General features: G+C 37.1%; 2 long non-coding RNA genes across 3 annotated transcripts in view; one reads left to right on the top strand and one right to left on the bottom strand.

Annotated features, from left to right (window-relative positions):
- Positions 1-9574, top strand: part of LOC105375172 (uncharacterized) — a 32552-nt gene extending 22978 nt beyond the window's left edge. Inside the window, exons 5-6 of the long non-coding RNA XR_001745108.1 lie at positions 3928-5213; positions 5661-9574. This is a non-coding gene — a long non-coding RNA (uncharacterized LOC105375172). The remainder of the gene's footprint in view (positions 1-3927; positions 5214-5660) is intronic.
- Positions 1-20579, bottom strand: part of LINC02888 (long intergenic non-protein coding RNA 2888) — a 92340-nt gene that overhangs the window by 27096 nt on the left and 44665 nt on the right. The window lies entirely within an intron of this gene.

Raw genomic sequence — 20579 nt, 5'->3', positions numbered from 1 at the left:
CTGCTCCAGCTGTGGCTAAAAGGGGCCAAGGTACAGTTCAGGCCATGCTTTTGGAGGGTGCAAGCCCCAAGTCTTGGCAGCTTCCACATGGTATTGAGCCTATGAGTACACAGAAGTCAATAATTGAGGTTTGGGAACCTCTGCCTAGATTTCAGAAGATATATGAAAACACCTGGATATCCAGGAAAAAGTTTACTGCAGGCACGGAGCCCTCATGGAGATCCTCTGCTAGGGCGGTACAAAAGGGAAATGTGGGGTTGGAGCCCCTACACAGAGTCCCCACTGGGGTACTGCCCAGTGGAGCTGTGAGAAGAGGGGCCACTGTCCTCCAGACACCAAAATGGTAGATCAACTGACAGCTTGTGCTGTGTGTCTGGAAAAGCCTCAGGCAACACCAGCCTGTGAAAACACCTGGGAAGGGAACTGTACCTTGCAAATCCATAGGGGCGGAGCTGCCCAAGGCCGTCGGAACCCACCTCTTGCATCATTGTGACCTGGATGTGAGACATGGAGTCAAAGGAGATCATTTTGGAGGTTTAAGATTTGACTGCCCTGCAGGAATTTCAGACCTGCATGGGGCCTGTAACCCCTTTGTTTTGGCCAATTTCTCCTATTTGGAACAGCTATATTTATCTAATGCCTTTACCCCCATTGTATCTAGCAAATAACTAACTTGCTTTTGATTTTATAGGCTCATAGGCGGAAGGAACTTGCCTTGTCTTAGATAAGATTTTGGACTATGGACCTTTGAGTTAATGCTGAAATGAATTAAGAATTTGGGGGACTGTTGGTAAGGCACTATTGGTTTTGAAATGTGAGGACATGAGATTTGGAAGGGGCCAGGGGTGGAATGATATGATTTGGCTTTGTGTCCCCACCAAAATCTCACCTTGAATTGTAATAATCCCCCCATGTCATGGGAGGAACCCAGCAGGAGGTAATTGAATCACAGGGGTGGGGTTTTCCTGTGCTGTTCTCATGATAGTGAATAAGTCTTGCTAGAGCTGATGGTTTTGTAAAAGGGAGTTCCCCTGCCCATGCTCTCTTGCCTGCAGCCATGTAAGATATGACTTTGCTCCTCATTTGCCTTCTGCCATGATTGTGGGGCCCCCTCAGCCATGTGGAATTGTGAGTCAATTAAACCTCTTTCCTTTATAAGTTACCCAGTCTTGGGTATGTCTTTATTATCAACATGAGTCCAGACTAATACACCCTCCTTTCTAAAAGATCCTTTCTTAAACTCAGGCATTAGGCTGCATGGCCTCTTAACAATTAAGAAGGTTATTAGTTTTACTGGTTTCTCACTCAACATTTTTTCTTGTTTTTATCTCTCTTATCTGGATTCATATTTTACTTACTGGAGTATGTTCACAAGTAATTCTTGGACATCTGAAAAAATGAGACTAGCTAGTTTTTGTGTGATACCTATTAATAATGCCTCTGAACTAGTGTTTTATGAAATACACTTTGGAAAACAATGACATAAATTTACTTACATTGACCAAAAACATTGAGATTTCTTAGTTAGATTTGATTTCATCAGGATCAAACTTTCTTGTCACCAGTGAACCCCCATAAATATGGATTCAAATGGACCTCACAGACAGAATTACCAGGAATACACATTTCTCTTCCCTTACTATATTTTTGAGTCATAGACAAGTAAGCAGAAAGAGGATATCAAACACTTTTCACCTAAAGTCTTAAAGAACGACTTCTCAAACAAGGTAGAATAAATAAAGTTGTAGACTTATTAGAATCCCTCTACCCCACTCTTTCCACACACCCCCCACATAGGTAAATGAAACCATATAAAGGACAAGAAGATACACATTTTTCTACTTGTGAGCCAGTATTACTATTGAGCTTTGTATGGCCAAATTTGTTTTTGCTACCAACTTAGGGAAAATGAGAAAATGAGATTTAGAAAAGAACAAATGCTATGGTAAAGAGTGAGGCCAGAATCCCAGATTAGAATAGCAACACTATTTGAAGTAGGACTACATGAATAAATGTTTTTCATTTATACCTGCTAATTTCCATCCTCCTCTTCCACCCTCAAGTTCCTGTAGTGTGAAGGCATTTGAAGAAACATAATGAACTCTCTCTGGGAAATATAGAGTTAACTTTGAAAGACAAATCTCTTATTGGAGATAGGCTACATGAGATTTTTCTGGATATGGAAAATAAATGTGATAACCTTCACCTTCATTTCCTGGAGTAACCCTGACAAGTCCCCTCCATAATTCCCACTTGGGAACTTGAAATAAGATTTGATTTCAGTCTCTACAATGCACATATGGTGTATGTACAAATAGCTTCTAAGCCTTTTGATGTCCATTAAGAGGAAGGAATGGGGAGCTGTTTCCTGTAGGAATATGGGGCACTAGGGAGCATTAAAGAAAGAAACAATGGCAAAGGAAATGTCAGTCTTTTGCACTCATTATGTTTCTATGAACAATGAATTTCATGAGTTTTGAGGCCTTTAATGGATGCGTTACATGTTCCAATTTTGTTCCCACAACTATCTTGGGGAGCCATACATAATAGATTTACATTTGAAAAAACACCCAACATCATCCCAACCCTCCTTTCCTTGGTCACCTAGTGGGGATATTGGATTGTTGTGATTCCAGACAATATGAAAAGCCTTTTGGAACATTTGTAGTTAGAAGATCTATTAAAATGCATGATTATATCAAGTCTTGTTCCTTCTGCCCTCCAATTCCCCACATTAATTTTCTTGGGGAAAGAGAATATTAGAAAAACAAATAAGAAAATAATAGCCCTTCATAAATACATCAACCAGAAATAATCTCAATATATATCCTTCAAGTCATATAAGTATGTATATATTTTGTCAAAGAATTAAAGAGTTTTGTGTTATAACAAAGGGGATTAGTTTATTTAAGCACAGTTATTAAAATAGAAGTCTATTATGTATTTTACTTTCCACAAAACTTTGTTTTTGCCAAACACCCTAATTTTTATTTTTTCTGACCTTAAAGCATAGTAATACTTTAAAAGTTTTAAATGGACTTTGTATGACTTAGACATTTCACATGTATTATTGAGCTTGTACCATCCAAATCCTTGGATTGTTCCAAAGTTACAGAAAAAGAAATCAAAGTACTTGGGATAGTGCCTTACTCAGAAATTCACATATGAATTTTTTCAATGGACAAAGCTCCAGCCAGAGTCTAATCCACACTTAAGCTTTTTATCTTAGGACTTTCAATGTTGAATATGGTTGAACAATAAATATTGAGCTAGCAATTATGTAACACCTATAATTTCCAAAGAACTATGTTGGAAAGTTTATTTATAAGACAATTCATGGTCCTATAACTAAAAATGGATGACTCCTGTTATGTTTTTAGAGAGGCTCTTTAGGAGAATTGTTTTGTACTCAGCCTCCACTGTGTAACCAGTTAATTAAATCATTCAGGAATGAAAGTTATTTAAATTTCAAATGATATCAGACCCAGCTCAGTTCTTCCCATTCCTCTCCTGTCTGTATTTAGAGCTGTGCATCATGTTTCTAATTGCCCCTCCTCTTCTTCTAATAATTTTCAATCTCTAAAGAAGAATATAAATGAGGGCAGGTAAAAGCTTTTTATTGAGTATTACGTCCTCAGTAATACTCTACATCAGCAGGTGCTTAGCACTTATTATCTTATTTGACTTTTACAACTATTGATATTGATATTTCTGGTTAATAGCTATTTGTCCTCAAAATTCCATTCTCCCTTTTTTCCTGGGCATGTCTTCCCTATTCAAGACTATGTTTCTCAGCTTCCCATGTGGTGACAGTCACGTGACTAAGTTCTCACTAATGGGATCTGAGGGAAAGAACAAAAGCTCCTGTGTGTGAAACTTATTGAAAAACAACTGCTCATCCTGGACTTCTTTTCATCCTTCTTGCAGGCTGGCTGAATTTGCCAAGACCCGGCTTTGCCCTTGCATGTGTGAAAAATGGCCTCAAGTATGACCCCATGGCAAGATGGAAAGAAACTGTGCTCTTGAATAGCTTAGAGATTCAGAGCCCCCCAACCAGCTTGAAACGCCCACCTCAAAACAATGACATGAGAAGAAACAAACCTCTAATTTAAGCCACTGTCTTTTTAAGAGCATTGTAGTTTGAGATCTCTTTCTTTCAGCTGTTTAGTCCCCAGCTAAACACTTACTGACCTTATCTTACAGGTCAAGAAAAATGAAGTTCTGGGGTACAAGTCACTAATGTATTAGAAATTTTCCAGCTCTCCCTCCTTGCCCAGCAGAGTATATTTCCACTCAAACACAATGAACCCATTTGGAATGGGACAAAACAAAATGGGGTGGGCCTGGAACAAGAGAAAGTTCAGCTACACAGGATCCAGGTCAAAACTCTTTAATCCTCCCATTTCTGGATTTCAAATGAACACCTTTTTGTCTAGCAGTTCTCCTCCAGAGGTTTGCTTTCCCACAACAGCTTGTCAACAGTGTAAGAAGTTCAAAAAGAACTTTTGGGGTTGCACGTTGCAGGTTGTGTGGCATCATCCCAGCTTGTCTCAACACCTCTGATGAACAGTAGCGGAAGAAAGGACTCTTTCCACATGAGTTCCTCGGCGGTCCCCGTCTCTTAGGGAGTTTATAAAAAAATCCATCATCTTGTTCTACTAAACCCAAGTAAATATAATTAACACCAAATGTGTGTTCTGCTCATCAAATTGTACAGCCATAAAGAGATAATCTTTGTAAAATAAATGACTAGGCTTCCTTGATAAGTCAATAAGGCAAAAACCTTGGGAGTAAATTAAGACAAATGGGAAACCAGCTGGAAGAAATCAAACAGGCAAAGCAGGTGGGGTGGCTTGTGTTTGGGAAGATAAAACACAGCATGAAGCATTTGCACATTTACACAAAAGCAAGATCTATAACCTTATGCTTTGAACTGAGCTAAATGCATGACTTATTTAAGAAGAGCTGGTAGCTGGGAACTGGTTGAACTAAGAGTGTCAAGACCAATTCTGATGATGTTTTCTTGTACTTTGCCTGTTTTTACATGCTCTGAAGATTGCCAAACAACCAGCAGCAGATGGTCCTGTATCTAAGTGCAATGCTAAGTGGTGTGAGGGATGGCATGATTGACCATTTACTCAGAGGAGCATAAAAGAAGGAATTCTTGTTAAAAATGCCTCTGTTGTATCAAGTGGCTGTAAAACAGGCAAGAGGTGAGTAGACCTTCAACAATCTGTCCCTTACTGGGAAAAACCAACACTGGGTCCAACAACCCTGAGGCATTCCAACATACATCTGTAGACACGCAAAAGCTCAAAAGCTACAGCATCACTTGAAATACATCCTTAGGTGACAATCCTGCATCCAGCAACTCCATGGCCTTTTCCCAAAGAATATGCCTTGCTGTTGTAAAAGTAGATTTAGACATCTCAGTTGATCCCGTTTTGGCAGGATTCATTTGGCCAAAAATAACGATTGCCCCTTTCATTTTGGGCCTCTGACAATGCTTCAGAAGTTGTAGTCCAAGCACACACAAATAGTGCCAGGAGTCGAGTTTCCAATAACTTCTGGCTAAAAGCCTCAGAGTCAGTCAGCCTTTCCCAGTTTCTCATGCAAAACGTTTAAAATTAACAAAAGCCACCTCAAACTACAATTTTCAGAATCTGGGAACTCTTATATCCAAGAGCAAGATGGATACACTTGGATTGAAAAATGCAGCCAAGACCCACAAATGCCAAGTCCTTGCCACAGAACAAGCTGTCCAGCTGGAAGAAACTAGAGGAATCCCCAAACCATTTGTCCTCTGACTCAAGAACACCAGAATTATACCAAGACAAAACTGTGCAGCTATCACTGTTCTGCACAGGTGTACCGCCTTGTGAAGTGATCCGGGAGACTTCTGTGTTACCAAACCCTCCTCACATACACTCACTCCCACTAAAACATCTCCTTCTATACAAATTAGAAACTGAGGCTCCCAGAAAACAACTTGAAAGGAATGTAGAGAAACTTATGATTGTCAGATTTAGCAAATAAAAATACAAGGATGCCCAGTTGAACTTGAATTTCATACAAACTACAAGTAATTTTTAATATAAGTATGTCCCAAGTCTTAAAAGAGGACTACAAATAATTTGTTAGTGTGAGTGTGCCCGTAAGTATTTGGGACATACTCACACTAACAAATTATTTGTCATTTATCTGAGATTCAAACTTAACTGGGCATTCTATACTTAACTTGGCAATTTGAGGAAGGGTGAAAAAAGAGAATACATTATTACATTGCATCATGGAGATACAGACCTTAAAAATAAAAATGTTGTAGGCTGAGGCCAAGACACAGAAGCCTTTGCAGCAGTGCTAATTGGGCATTATAAGTTTATATTTATTAACTCTTTTCAGAAATCATAATCTTGAAGGAAAATATCCCAAATCATCTCAATACAGACAATATCCGTACAAGGATACTACTTGACATATTCAATCAAAACAATATGAATTCTTACAAACTAAGAATTGGACTAGAATTTAGAATGTATGCTCATTGGCCTTTTAGCTATTTATAGCTGGAGTCCCACAGATACCAAATGTCATGAATGGAAATCCACATGCCCATCATTGACAATCTAAACAGAACTTGTTTGATTAAGAATAAAGGAGGAGGAAAACAACAAAGGAAACTATATTTCAGAATATGGGAACGTGATTACTATCCCAAGAATATAAAAAAGTATTTTTATACTATCTGACATAACCAAAAGAATATGAATTACATGAAACAAGAGCCAGAAGGTACAAGGATGAATTAAGAAGCTTGTTAGGCGAGTTAAAGACATTTCAAGAAATTGAAAATATAGGAGTATTAGAGTCTTTATTGAAATCAGTGAAGGAATTGACAATGTCTATCATCGAATTAGAGTTTAAATATCAGATGCTGTCTCAGAACTCATAAGAAAAATCAATGATAAAGAGATGATAGCTCTAAAATGGTAAAAAAAAAAAAAAAAAAATAAAGTACACGAGTTAATTTAAAAAGGAAAAAAAGGTTTGCATAAGATTTGCCTTCTGCAACAATAAATTCCAGAAGAGAGTAGAAAATATCTATAACATTTGAGTAAATATTGCTCCTCCAAAGTACATATTTACTCGGTTTTCCTTGTGTAAAGAAGTGAAAAAGACATTCTCACATATGAAAGAACCAGAAAACATATCACGTGTACATTTCTTGAAAATACATTTCAATGGGAAGTTTAACCTGTGCTCAAGAAATTAACCAAATTATTAATTCAAAACTAGGTAAGTTCTGGAGAAAAAGCCCTGACAGTTTTCATAACAATCTGAGGAACACCAAGGTCCATGCTGGCTGAGCAGTGTGGTCTCTAACAGCGGTTTTTAAATATGAATGCACATGATAATTACTGGGGGAGAACATTTAAAAACATCGAGATTAGACCCCCGCTTCAGATTAATTAATCAGAAATTCAGAATAGTGGATGGAAATGTGGGCATTGAAAGTTTTAAAAGCTCTGCGGCTGATTTTAATGTGTATCCAGGGTTGAGAACCATCCTTTAGATAAAGAACAAGCATGAAATCAGGTCTGAGTTTGAACTCCTTCCTATGATTTATGGGACATGAGGTGATTGCAGGCAGATGGCTCAACCCACCTAGACTTTATCAGTTTTAAAATCTGAGATAATTGTGTCTCTATCATATTATTAGCATAAAATTAGAAAATATATGTCATTCACCAAAGGTGGGGTTACACAATTTGTAGCCACAACAAGGCAATATTTTCACAGTATTTTCTGGGAATGGCAGTATGCATATGGTGTTTTTATTTTTCCATCATAAATAAGAGTTTTGTAGTTAAGCAGGCGTTTCTCCTGTACACCATTAAGTTCTATGTAATTCTAAATATATTTCAGTTCTGCAGAGAGCAGCAGCTCATTTGCCAACCTTTAAGGACCTCTAATATCTGTCGACTCCCACTTTTAATCTGAACCAAACACACTGCTCTCCTTGCCAAATATTCGTGCAAACCCAAATGGTCCCACCATAGCCCTGCTCACTTCTGCCTTGGTGCGGCTGCTCACATGGGTCACTGGCTCACACCTGCTGTCTTTTCCTCTCATTGCTCTTTCTTAACTCTAGCTCCAATTGACCTTCTATAGTGCCCTCTAAATTTACTACAGTTCTGCAGTAAATTTATATATTTACTTATATATTTATATATTTACTACCTTATATATCATAGTATTGTATTATTTATTATCTTGTATTGATTTTCCCCAATCTAAACTTTAGTTTCCTGTGGATGGTGTAGGAAGAAGAAAGGGTGATATGGAAAGAGTATTTAACAATGCACAGAAATGCTCATCAGTGGTATTGAAACAAAAGTAGTTCACTAAATGAATCTATAATATTGATTATGGAAAATTGCATTTGGCAAAGACTGAAAAAAAAATAAACTAAAGGGTTGGCAGTGGTAACCTCTTAGTGGTAAGATTATGAGGGACTATTATGTTTTCTTCATATTTTTCTCTATTTCCCATGAGCTACATTTATTAGTTCTATAGTGAGTCAGCATACGCAAAATGGCATATACAACAAAATCAAATTTTTCAGAAAGCAACTGTTAAAAAGATATGAGGAAAGGATACAATAATTATTAACAGTATTCATAAAAGAAGATATAAGAGTGGCAAATAAGCACATGAAAAATTGCCAAAGATTATTTATCAAGGAAATGTAATTTAAGCCACAATCAACTATTACTACACAAACCAGAACATAACTAAAATTAAAAGGTCTGACAACACCTAATAATGACCAGAATATGTATCTATATTAAATGTTCACAGCAATGCCTATAACAAAACATTGGAAATAACCTGACCCTAGAGAAGTAGTTGGAAAATTGTTTAACTTCAAAGCAGACTATTTTACAGCCACCAAACGTTATGTTTTGATAGAATTTTAAATGATAGGTTGAAAGCTTACAGTATTAACAAAGCATGTCAATTATCAAAAACAGTTAATTCTGGGGGGGTGGTGAGAGAGAGCTAATTTTTTGCCTACATAGTTTTCCAAGTGTCAGTATGCATTACTTATATCAGAGGAAAAAGCAAATAACAAATATTAATGTGATGACTTGTTTTTGGAATACAAGTACAATTACCTCAGCAAAGGAGTTCATGTTTCATGAACCAGTGACACTTAATGCTGATTGTTCAATGACTTGGATTTCTTAGGTAATAGCTTTACTTGATATATTGTGTATTTTTGGTTTAATTGTTGGTCAGTTTGGTATTCCATATGGTAGTGCTACTCAAAATGTGTTGTGAACCCTTGGTGGCCCATAGAGTCAAAACTATTTTCATAATAATGCTAAAACATTATTTGCCTTTTTCATTGTGTTGACGTTTGCAGTGATGGTGCCAAAGCAATAGAGGGTAAGACTGTTGGTGCCTTAGCATGAATCAAGATAGTGGCACCAAACTTGACTAGTTATCACTGTATTCTTTGCTATCACATACTCACTGTTAAAATAAATAAAAAATTTAAAAATTAAAATAATTACTTCAGAATGTCCTTATGAAACAGTGAAAAATTACCATTGAATCTCTGCCCTTGAATATATGTGTTTTAAAAATTCTCTATGCCACAATAGGAAATGAAGCTAAAGCATACCAAGTACCATGGTTGTCTTAAGGACAAGCACCTGTGCTGTTGATTAATGTGGGCTGAACTGTCACTTTTTTAGAGCATGGGTAACCATTGTTACTTGAGCACCACTCTTCCTTGAAATGATGAATGACAGGAAGCTATCGTTCTTCAGATCTAATATTTGACAGAAATTTTCTTGAAAATGATCAAAGTGAGCCTGTTACTCCAAGGGGGTCAACTGGCAGTCTCTGTTGTTGGTGATAAAAATCTGAGCTTTCTGGTAACAATTAGGATTTTGGGAAACTGGTATCCATTGCCATGAGCTTAATAGTTTCCTAATATTTAAAGGCTTTTCCGATAAAATCAATTTTGTTATTATTAACATGATTTTTCCAGTCTGGGCAACATAGCAAGATCTCATCTCTAAAAAAATAGCCGAGCATGGTGGTGTTTGTCTTTAGTCCCAGTTACTCGGGAGGCTGGGGTGGGAGGATCATTTAAGCCTGGGTGGTTAACGCTGCATTGAGCCAAGATCGTGCCACCACACTTCAGCCTGGGTGACAGAGCAAGACCCTATCTCCAAAAACAAAAACAAAATGAAAAACCCTATGATTTTCTTTCAACATTACATGATGGGATGGATCAATGTTTGGAAGAACTACCTAACTTATTGAGCCAATCTTTTCCAAATGACCAGTCTGTGATGTTACAAAATCATTCAGAGGTAAAAGATCCATTTGAAGTGGAAAGAGAGACTGATTGTTTTTAATGTTGCAGAGTATGAAAAGTTCACTGATACAGTTTCAGATTCCACGCTGCAACTAACTTTTGAGAAGCTCTTTTCCACCTCTTTTGTGTATGAGGTGAGATTTTCTATGTATACGTCAACCAAAATAACATATCACAGCATATTAAATGCAGAAGCAGATATGAAAATCTAATTCAGTCATTCTCAATAAAGCTCTGAGGTTAGAAGTCCCTCAGGTATTGAATATAAATTATCATCAATTTTCTGGTACCTACATTTAACAAAAAAGGAAAAATTCCCTTTCTCACAAAATGATCTCAAATTAATCTTGATAAATTATTGTCTTACATATTAGAGAGGCAGAACTCAATTGTAACTTTGTTTTTTGGAATTTCTCATATTGTTGAGCTCAATACCAAAAATACATCATACCAATGTGTCAGGATTGTGTTCAGCAGCAGATAATATAAAACCAAAACTATAAGGAAGGACTTTTTTTTTTTCTTAAATGTTCAGACAAAATCTTGAAAAAGAACAAATGTGGGAGACTTGAACTTTTTGAATTTAAAATTTAATACAAAGCTACAGTAATCCAAACAGTGTGGCACTGGCATAAAGACACACATATACACCAATGGAACAGAATAGAGAGCCCAGAAATAATCCCTCACACATATGACCAAATAATTTTCAAAGGGATGCTAAGAACACTCAGTGGGAAAAGGACAATCTTTTCAACAAATGGTACTAGGAAAACTGGATATCAACATGCAAGAAAATAAAGTTGAACCCTTACCTAGCACCATATAAAAAATTAAAATGAATTAAAGACCTAAAAATAAAGGCTAAAAGTATGATTCTTAGTTAAAACATAGGGCAAAAGCTTTACGACACTGGATTTGGCAAGATGTGATATGGCACCAAAGGCACAGACAACAAAAAAAAGAATAGACAAATTGAACTTCATGAAACTTAAAAACTTGGTTTTTTTTTTTCAAATCAGAGTCTCACTCTGTCACCCAGGCTGGGGTACAGTTGTGTGATCTCAGCTTACTGTAGCCTCAACCTCCTAGGCTCAAGTGATCTCCTACCTTTGCCTCCAGAGTAGCTGGGACTATACGTGCATGCCACCAAGCCTGGCTAACTTTTCTGTATCTTTTGTAGAGAAGTAGTTTTGCCATGTGGCCCAGTCTGGATTTCAGCTCCTGGGCTCAAATAATCTGCCCACCTCAGCTTCCTAAGTGCTGGGATTACAGGCATGAGCCACCACGCCCAGCCAACTTAAAAACCTTGTGCATGGAAGGCCACTATCAACAGAGTGAAAAGGCAACCTATGGTGTCTCAGGTCATTTGTGCTGCTATAACAAAAATACCTGAGCCTGAGTAACAATAGAAATTTACTTCTTATGGTTCTGGAGGCTGAGAAGTCCAAGATCAAGGTGCTGACAGGTTTGGTGTCTGGTAAGGGCATGTTTCCCCTAGATGGTGCCATGTTAGTGTTTTCACATGGCAGAAGAGATGAAGGGGCAAAAAGGGGCTAGCAATTTCTCTCCAGCATTTTTTATTTTTGAAGCAAAACAAAAGCACAGATTTATTGAAACAAAAGTACACTCCACAGAGTGGAAGTGGGCTTGAGCAAACAGCTCAAGAGCCCTGGTTACAGAATTTTCTAGGGTTTAAATACCCTTTAGAGGTTTCCCATTGGTTACTTGGTTACACCCTATGTAAATGAAAACCTGGCCAACAACCAGTCTGATTGGTTGTGGGAGGGAACCAGTCAGAGGTACTTTCCATTTTTCATTTGTAAGGCAGTGGAAAGGGGGGGATTGCAAAGCGAGTAGCTCCTTTTTTCTTTTTTTCCTTTGTTAACAATAAGAAACTATTGAAACTGGACTGAAAGAAACTTTGGAAAGAATGTCGTAGAAGTAAACTGCCATTCATTATATTTTTGATATATAAGAGGTATGTGTTTGTGTGTGTGTGTGTGTGTGTGTATTTTGTTCAAATAGTGTGTATCTTGAAGGACTTCATAAGATATATATATATATTATATATAACCTTGATATATAGATATAGATATCTCAAGTCCTTCAAGATACACACTATATTCGTATCTGAACAAAAGTAAGAAAGGAATACTCATAGTATTAAGTAATAGCTTAAAGTCATTCAGGTAGTAACAGGCAAGTTCAACTGACCTGTGGCTCTGAAGCTATTCTCTTCCCACTCATTCGTGGTAAGAGTGTGTGACAACCAGTAAAAGGAAGGCACCTAAGCCATCCAAACCCTGTTTCCACCTTGGAATCATAACGTACTCAGATTACATAGCAATTAGTAATCTCCTGTAAAAATTATATGATTCAAATTCAATGAATTTCATTTATAACATATAGGAATGTATTATGTTAATGGTGAAACACTGCATAAAAAAGATGAAACCCATTCACACTGTCAGACTTAAGCCCATTTTATCAGTGGCCAGCAGATTCCAGAATATACAAACAAACACACTTTCAGCAAGCAGTTAACTGAGAAACAGCATGGTTAAAGCACTGAAAACAACCCATAAGAGACAACACATTGCTGTTGTTTAGGGTGACTAAATTCGTAGATAGAAAAATTCTATAGACACAGTGTTTGGATTTTAGCAAGTCACTGGCCAAAGCATGTGAGAAAGAATGAAGGATAAAAATGAATAGTAATAGAGAATGGATGGGTTCAAAAGCGGTAGGTGGACTATATCCATAGTGTTGACTAGTTGATTGATACAAATCTGAACTACTAATGTTGCTTTGTGATCACATCCCATACATACTTCCACATTGTTCCAATGAATACTAATCTTAGATGTATAAGTTGGATTTCCATTATGAATCTTACAAGATTACAAGATTAATAATGCAAGATTCATAATGGATTCATAAGATTACAAGATTCAAAAGGCAAATACATCTTATAGGTAGAGATTATTCTGTTCTTTTTTTTCATACTTTTAAGTTCTGGGATACATGTGCAGAATGTGCAGGTTTGTTACATAGGTATACACGTGCCATGGTGGTTTGTTGCACCCATCAACCTGTCATCTACATTAGGTATTTCTCCTAATGCTATCCCTTCACTAGCTCCCTACCCCCCCGACAAACCCCAGTGTGTGATGTCCCCTCCCTGTGTCCATGTGTTTTCATTGTGTAACTCCCACTTATGAGTGAGAACATGCAGTGTTTGGTTTTCTCTTCCTGTGTTAGTTTGCTGAGTATGACAGTTTCCAGCTTCATCCATGTCCCTGAAAAGGACATGAACTCATCCTTTTTTATGGCTGCATAGTATTCCATGGGGTATATGTGCCACATTTTCTTTATCCAGTCTATCATTGATGAGCATTTGGGTTGGTTTCAAGTCTTTGCTATTGTAAATAGTGCTGCAATAAACATATGTGTGCATGTGTTTTTATAGTAGAATGATTTATAATCCTTTGGGTATATACCTAGTAATGGGATTGCTCCCTCCAGCATTTTCATAAAGGACTTAATCTCATCCACAAGGGAAGAGTCCTCATGACTTAATCACTGTTCAAAAGGCCCACCTCTTAATACTATCACATTGGCTATTAAGTTTCAACAAATGAATTTTGGGGAGGACACATTTAGACCATGGCATATAGAATGCTGGAAAATGTTTGTTTGCAAATCACATATCTGATAAGGTATTAATATCCGTAACTCCTAAACTCAACAACAAAAAACAACCCAATTCAAAAATGAGCAAAGACCTCAACAGACATTTGTCAAAATACAAGACAAATGGCCAGTAAGCACATGAAAAGATGCTGACTATCACCAATAACTAGGGAAATGCAAGTCAAAACCACAATGAGATACCTCACATGCATTAGAATAACTAAGATTTACTTTAAAAACACCAAACAAGCAGAAAGTAACAAATATTGGCTAGGATGTAGATAAACTGAAACCCTTGTTAGTATTGGTAGGAATATAAAATGATACCGCTATTGTGGAAAACAATATGGCAGTTCCTCAAAAAATTAAAAATAGAATTATTATATGATCCAGTACTTCCATTTCTGGGTATATACCTAAAAGAATAGAAAGCATGCTCTCAAAGAGATATTTGTATATCTATATTCATAGCAGCATTATTCACAACAGCTGAAATGTGGAAGCAATCCAAGTGTCCATGAGTAGGTGAATAAATATACAAAATGTGGCACATAAATACAACGGGATATCATCTAGCCATAAAAAGAAAAAAATTCTGACATATGCAACAACATGGATGAACCTTGGAGACATTATGCTAAATGAATAGGCTAATCACAAAAAGGTAAATACTGTATGACTCCATTTAGCTGAGGTAGTTAGAGCAGTCAGAAATCAGAGACAGAAAGTAGAATGGTGGTTCCCAGGGGCTGGAGGAAAGGGGAATGCAGAGTTGTTGTTCAATGGGTACAGAGGTTCAGTATTACAAGATGAAGAGACTTATAGAGATGTGATGGATGGTGGTGATGGTTGTACAACAATATGAATGTAGTTAATACCATGTACACTTAAAATGGTCAAAATGGTAAATTTTATGTTATGTGTATATTACCACTATTTTAAAAATTGGAAAAAGTTCAGATAGGTCCTCCATTCTGGTGCAGTGATTCTACAATGTGGCTAATATCTTAGGCTTGTTACATCTTTCTATGCTGCCATCCTTAGCATGTAGTTTTAATCTCCGTATTTGCAAGATGGCTGCTTCACCATCCATGAGCTAGGCAGGAAGGAGGAGGAGAGGGAACAGAAAGCATTAGCAGCTGCCAGTCAGCTTTGCATCTCACTAGCCAGGACTGTGTCACATAATCGCTCAAAGCTTAAAGATAGTCTGGAAAAGTGAGTTTTATTACACTGTGGTAGAGGCAGACGGGGGAGGAATGGATTTGGAAATACAGGTTGATCAACCAGTCCAAGTGTCTGCCATATTCAGTGGGCAAAGAAGTAACACTAATAATGGCTTTTTTCAGTGGAAGGAAAAATAACAGAAATGTATCAGCCCCAGGAAAAATTGACGTAGGCATATACTTTCTCCTGAGTGAATAGCAACAGCATTGACAGGGTGGCCAAATGTGATACTAACTGTAAAACATACCCTGTTGAGAGGTGGAGAGTAAATATAGAACTGTGTGTGTATTTCTTTTTTAATAGAGATGAGGTCTTGCTATGTTACCCAGGCTGGTCTTAAACCCCTGAACTCAAGCAATCCTTCTGCCTCGGCCTCCCATAGTGCTGAGATTATAGATGTGAGCCACCATGCCTGGCTAGAACTTAGTTATATTTTTAAAAACAAAAAAAAACAGTCAGCCTTTAATTTTCCTCATAGAGAAAAAACTTTAGGATTAATAACCTAATTACAGAATAGCAAACTTAGCAGTTGCCAACCTCTTTCATTTGTGTGGTCCACAATCTGTAAGGAAATTAAAAAAGGGAAGACCCAGTGTTTGTAGCTAATCCTCACGAGTAAGTCATGTGAAGATGTCACATATCCATCATCAGTACGGGGGGTTTCATTCCTTCCTTATTTATTGTTTATTAACTATGTGTGTGACCCTGTACTCTCGAGATAAAACAAAGAATTCTCATTTCAAAAATTTTAACATCCCAATGAAGTTTGCTCTTCATTTTTGTCTATATTTACAGGAGGTTTGGTGAGCCAATTGATGTAAAACAGTATACAAAATGGTTCTAACATCAAGATATATCTCTATTTTATACACTTAAACTGTAAAATCATTTGTTCTATAATTAGGGCATCTAGTGCATAATAAATGATTCTGTGACTCTTACTGGAGACTAGCCGGGACATAATTTTCTTGAAGCCAAATTCTTTGGAATTATTTTAAAGTAGGAGGAAGAGAAGAGAGCATATAGCTATGCATGCACAGAAGGGTGAACTGGGGAGGGAGGTGGAGGCAGAAGAAAGATTAGACTGGAAGTTTCTCTCAGCTGAAACAAGTGACTAAATTTGGCCAAGCGTGGTGATTCACGCCTGTAATCCCGGCACTTTGGGAGGCTGAGGCAGGCAGATCACCTGAGATCCGGAGTTCGAGAACAGCCTGGCCAACATGGTGAAACCCTGTCTCTAATAAAAATACAAAAAAAAGCCAAGTTTGGTGGCACACGCCCATAAATCGCAGCTACTCGGGAGGCTGAGGCAGGAAAATCGCTTGAACCTGGGAGGTGGAAGTTGCAGTGAGCCAAGATTGTGCAGGAAGTGACTACATTTTATCATCTTTCTTGAAAGACAGGAATTGATAAAAATAATTTTTAAGGATCAAAATTGGATTCTTTATGCAGCTTTCCAAAATTTCTGTGGTAGGAAATAATTGTATATAATGCTTTATCACTTTTTTTTAATACCTGATTTAAAACTTTTGTTCTTTAAGCCAAAATTTATTTGAAGCAGCTGTGAAACTTCTTGATGCATTTTTCTGGTTTGGAAGCTGACGTTAGTCCCAAATAAAAACAAATACCCACTCAGATCTTTTTAATAGTCTAAGAAGATTAAATACCCCAAAACCATAACATTTTTGTGGGTTTGACATTCTGAAGTTTTGCTTTCAACTCTACTTCCAAATCTTTAATTTGGGCAGGAAGGAAAGAAAGAATTTCAGAATTTATGTGGCTGTAAGGGCCAGTCAGAACAATAGATCTGCTTCAGCCATGCCTTCTGTAAATAACCAGCCCTATTCAACCCAAAGAGCCTCTCAGTTCGGGTTAGTCAGTTCTGGTTCTGTATAACTTTGAACTTAACATTTTGGAATCCAGAATGTGGAATTGTGGAAAACAGTATGGCAGTTCCTCAAAAAATTAAAAATAGAATTATTATATGATCCAGCACTTCCATTTCTGGGTATATACCTAAAAGAATTGAAAGCATGTTCAGTGGAATCCAGCCCCTTAAACAAGTTATAATATTGGAACATCACTGCACAAACTAACCTCTTTATTATGAAAATCTTGTGGGGTTTTTTGGAAAAGGGGAAGATCAGTTATACAGTTTATTGGAAAATATTTATGAATAAATTCTACATATAGTTTTAAGTCTAGGCTAATATGATTCCTGATTCTGCATCCTGTCACTCTAATGGAGTAATTACTTTTCCACCTGAAACTTTATTTCATTCATTCTTTGTTAGATGTATTAAAGTCCACACCTCTATAATAAAATTTAAACTTAATTTTTAAAGTTTAAATAAATAAAGTTTAAATAAAATTTAAACTTAAAATTTTTAATTTGTTTTGCTCATATGTAAAAGTCAAGGCATTTTTTGTAGATACCAAGTGTTAGTAACATAAATACAGTTTTCAAATACAAGGCAAAAGAGAAGGGGAGGCCCAGAGCACAGGAGATCTGACCCTTTGTCCAAATTCTGTCATCAGTCAGTGGTTAATCTCCCTTAAATTCCTTTTGTTTTTCATTTTAAATAAAGCTAACACATTGAGGCAAAATATCAGGATTTGTTTATTTCTAGAATTCCATGTATCTCCTAAGTAGTAGAGGAAAGTGTGTATTCTATTTACTGTTTATATATCTTTAAATCTTTTCAGGATATCCGGCACACCAATGTTGTTACATCACTGAGTACCCTACAGTTTACAAACTTACTCACGCATCACATACACTATTAGATTGATGTTTATTATCTCTTTAGGCATAACTTCTAGGCGGACTTATTTACGAGGACCAGAACAGACTGTTTAATGAGAAACACTTCCATTGAGCAAAGAGCAAGATTTACACTTCTGAAACCTCATCTAGTGGTTTCTATAAATATATGACCTATTAAAATCTAAATTCAAAGCATACCTAATACTAAAATTGTTTAGCTATTTCTCAGATTAAAAAGAAGTTGTACACTGCTGATTAGAGCATGTACACATTTTGCAAAAAGAAAAAACAAAAACAAAAAAACATACCAATGCTATCACCCTTTGTCATTAACTTCATATCAATATTTTGATATTATTTGTCCAGGACTCTGCTTGAGACAACATCTGTTCCATATTTCTTTTAGTATTACCAATCTTTTCAGGTTTCTTAAAACCCACTTCTAACAATAAACTTGATTTCACAGGACTCTTATTTCCAACACTATGAAACAGGCTTTCTTTGTTGAATGTGTACTCTATAGTACTTAAATTATGAAAATATGTTTTCAATTAAAAAAACTTCATTAGTAGGTATTTAGATGGATCTTAGTTTCAGAATGTACCAGTGGGGACTGTATTGACATTTTTCTCTTCATGGCTATTCACTAAGTGATTGTGATGGTATTTTCCATAATGCTTTGTTATTTTTCTAGTGACTTTTCCTATATTTTGGATTAAAATGATATTCCTTGCCCAAAACTCTCTCCAGCGATCAGACTTTATAACTGTCCTCGAGGGTATCTTAATTGCTTCTCTAATGACTTCATGCAAGAAGCACACACATGCTCCTCCACAAATACAAACCCAGATTTGTATTAGTATTCATTCATTGCTTTCACAATCCTTTCCATTTGTTAATATTGCTCTATTCATTCATTCAATAAACATATAGAGCACCTTTTATTTTCTGGGCACTACGCTAGGTACTGTGGACATAAATGCAAATATTAGATTTTTTTTGTCTTCAGCAGAGTGCAATCCAGTGTCTTAGACATATTTCCAAGTTTTACTATGCATGGTGATTAGGTGCTGTGAGGTTAGCAAGTGAAAAGAAATCAGTAGAACTCATAGCTAGAAAAAGTTTGAAGATTAAAAATAAGAGTGAAGACAAGGGGCTTGAGCTATTTTAAAACATTATGGCATCGAAGCTAGAACCTAACGCTCTTTTTATCCTCAAGGGAAGTCAGGTTATTCTCCCACACTACGTGTACCCTATAAACTAGCTTCACAGCATGACTCCCACATGAGGAATTTTCATTCCTCAGATAAAAGCTGTCATGCCCTCTGTGTGAAGAGACCACCAAACAGGCTTTGTGTGAGCAACAAAGCTGTTTATTTCACCTGGGTGCAGGTGGGCTGAGTCCAAAAAGAAAGTCAGCAAAGGGAGATAGGGGTGGGGCCATTTTATAGGATTTGGGTAGGTGGTGGAAAATTACAAAGCGGGTTGTTCTCTGGCGGGCAGGGGCGGGGGTCACAAGGTGCTCAGTGTGGGAGCTTCTGAGCCAGAAGAAGGAATTTCCCAAGGTTAATGGCTCAGTTAAGTTGTGGCAGGAACAAATCACAATGGTGGAATGTCATCAGTTAAGGCAGGAACTGGCCATTTTCTCTTCTTTCCTGATTCTTCACTTGCTTCAGGCCATCTGGATGTATATGTGCAGGTCACAAGGGATACGATGGCTTAGCTTGGGCTCAGAGGCCTGACATTCCTGTCTTCTTATGTTAATAAGAAAAGTAACATGAAATAGTATTGAAGTGTTGGGGCAGCAAAAATTTTAGGGGGGTGGTATGGAGAGATAATGGACAGTGTTTCTCAGGGCTGCTTTAAGCCAGATTAGGGGCGGTGTGGGAACCTACACTGGGGGAGATTAAGCTGAAGGAAGATTTTGTGGTAAGGTGTGATATTGTGGGGTTGTTGGAAGGAACATTTGTCATATGGAATGATTGGTGATGGCCTGGATGCGGTTTTGTATGAATTGAGAAACTAAACGGAAGACACAAGGTCCGAATAAGAGAAGGAGGAAAACAGGTATTAAAGGACTAAGAATTGGGAGGACCCAAGACATCCAATTAGAGAGTGTCCATGGGGGTTCAGCATAATTACTTGCTTGGTTGGCAAGTTTTGGGGCTCTATCCTTGAGTTTTTTTATCTTGTCATATACAAGGCCAGATTGATTTAGGTAAAAGCAACACTCTTTATTTAAAAATACATGGAGTTTTTTATTTTTTTATTTTTTATTTTTATTTGGCAGTAAGTCAAGGCCTCCGCGATTTTGGAGGAAAGGGAAATGCAAAGCCAGCAACTGCAAAGCCAGCAATTGTTAAAGAAGGATTAGAAATGGCTAGGAGAGAGTGAGTGTGATTGATAGTGTGGTGGAGATAGCTGGGGAGAGGCAGAGGATGGCATAAGAATGGGAACAGGAATAAGAGTGAGTATACAAGTAAAGAATAGGACTTC

This window comes from Homo sapiens, chromosome 7, assembly GCF_000001405.40.
Source record: "Homo sapiens chromosome 7, GRCh38.p14 Primary Assembly".
In the NCBI taxonomy this organism is placed as follows: Eukaryota; Metazoa; Chordata; class Mammalia; order Primates; family Hominidae; genus Homo; species Homo sapiens.
This window is presented reverse-complemented; position numbering and strand designations above follow the sequence as displayed.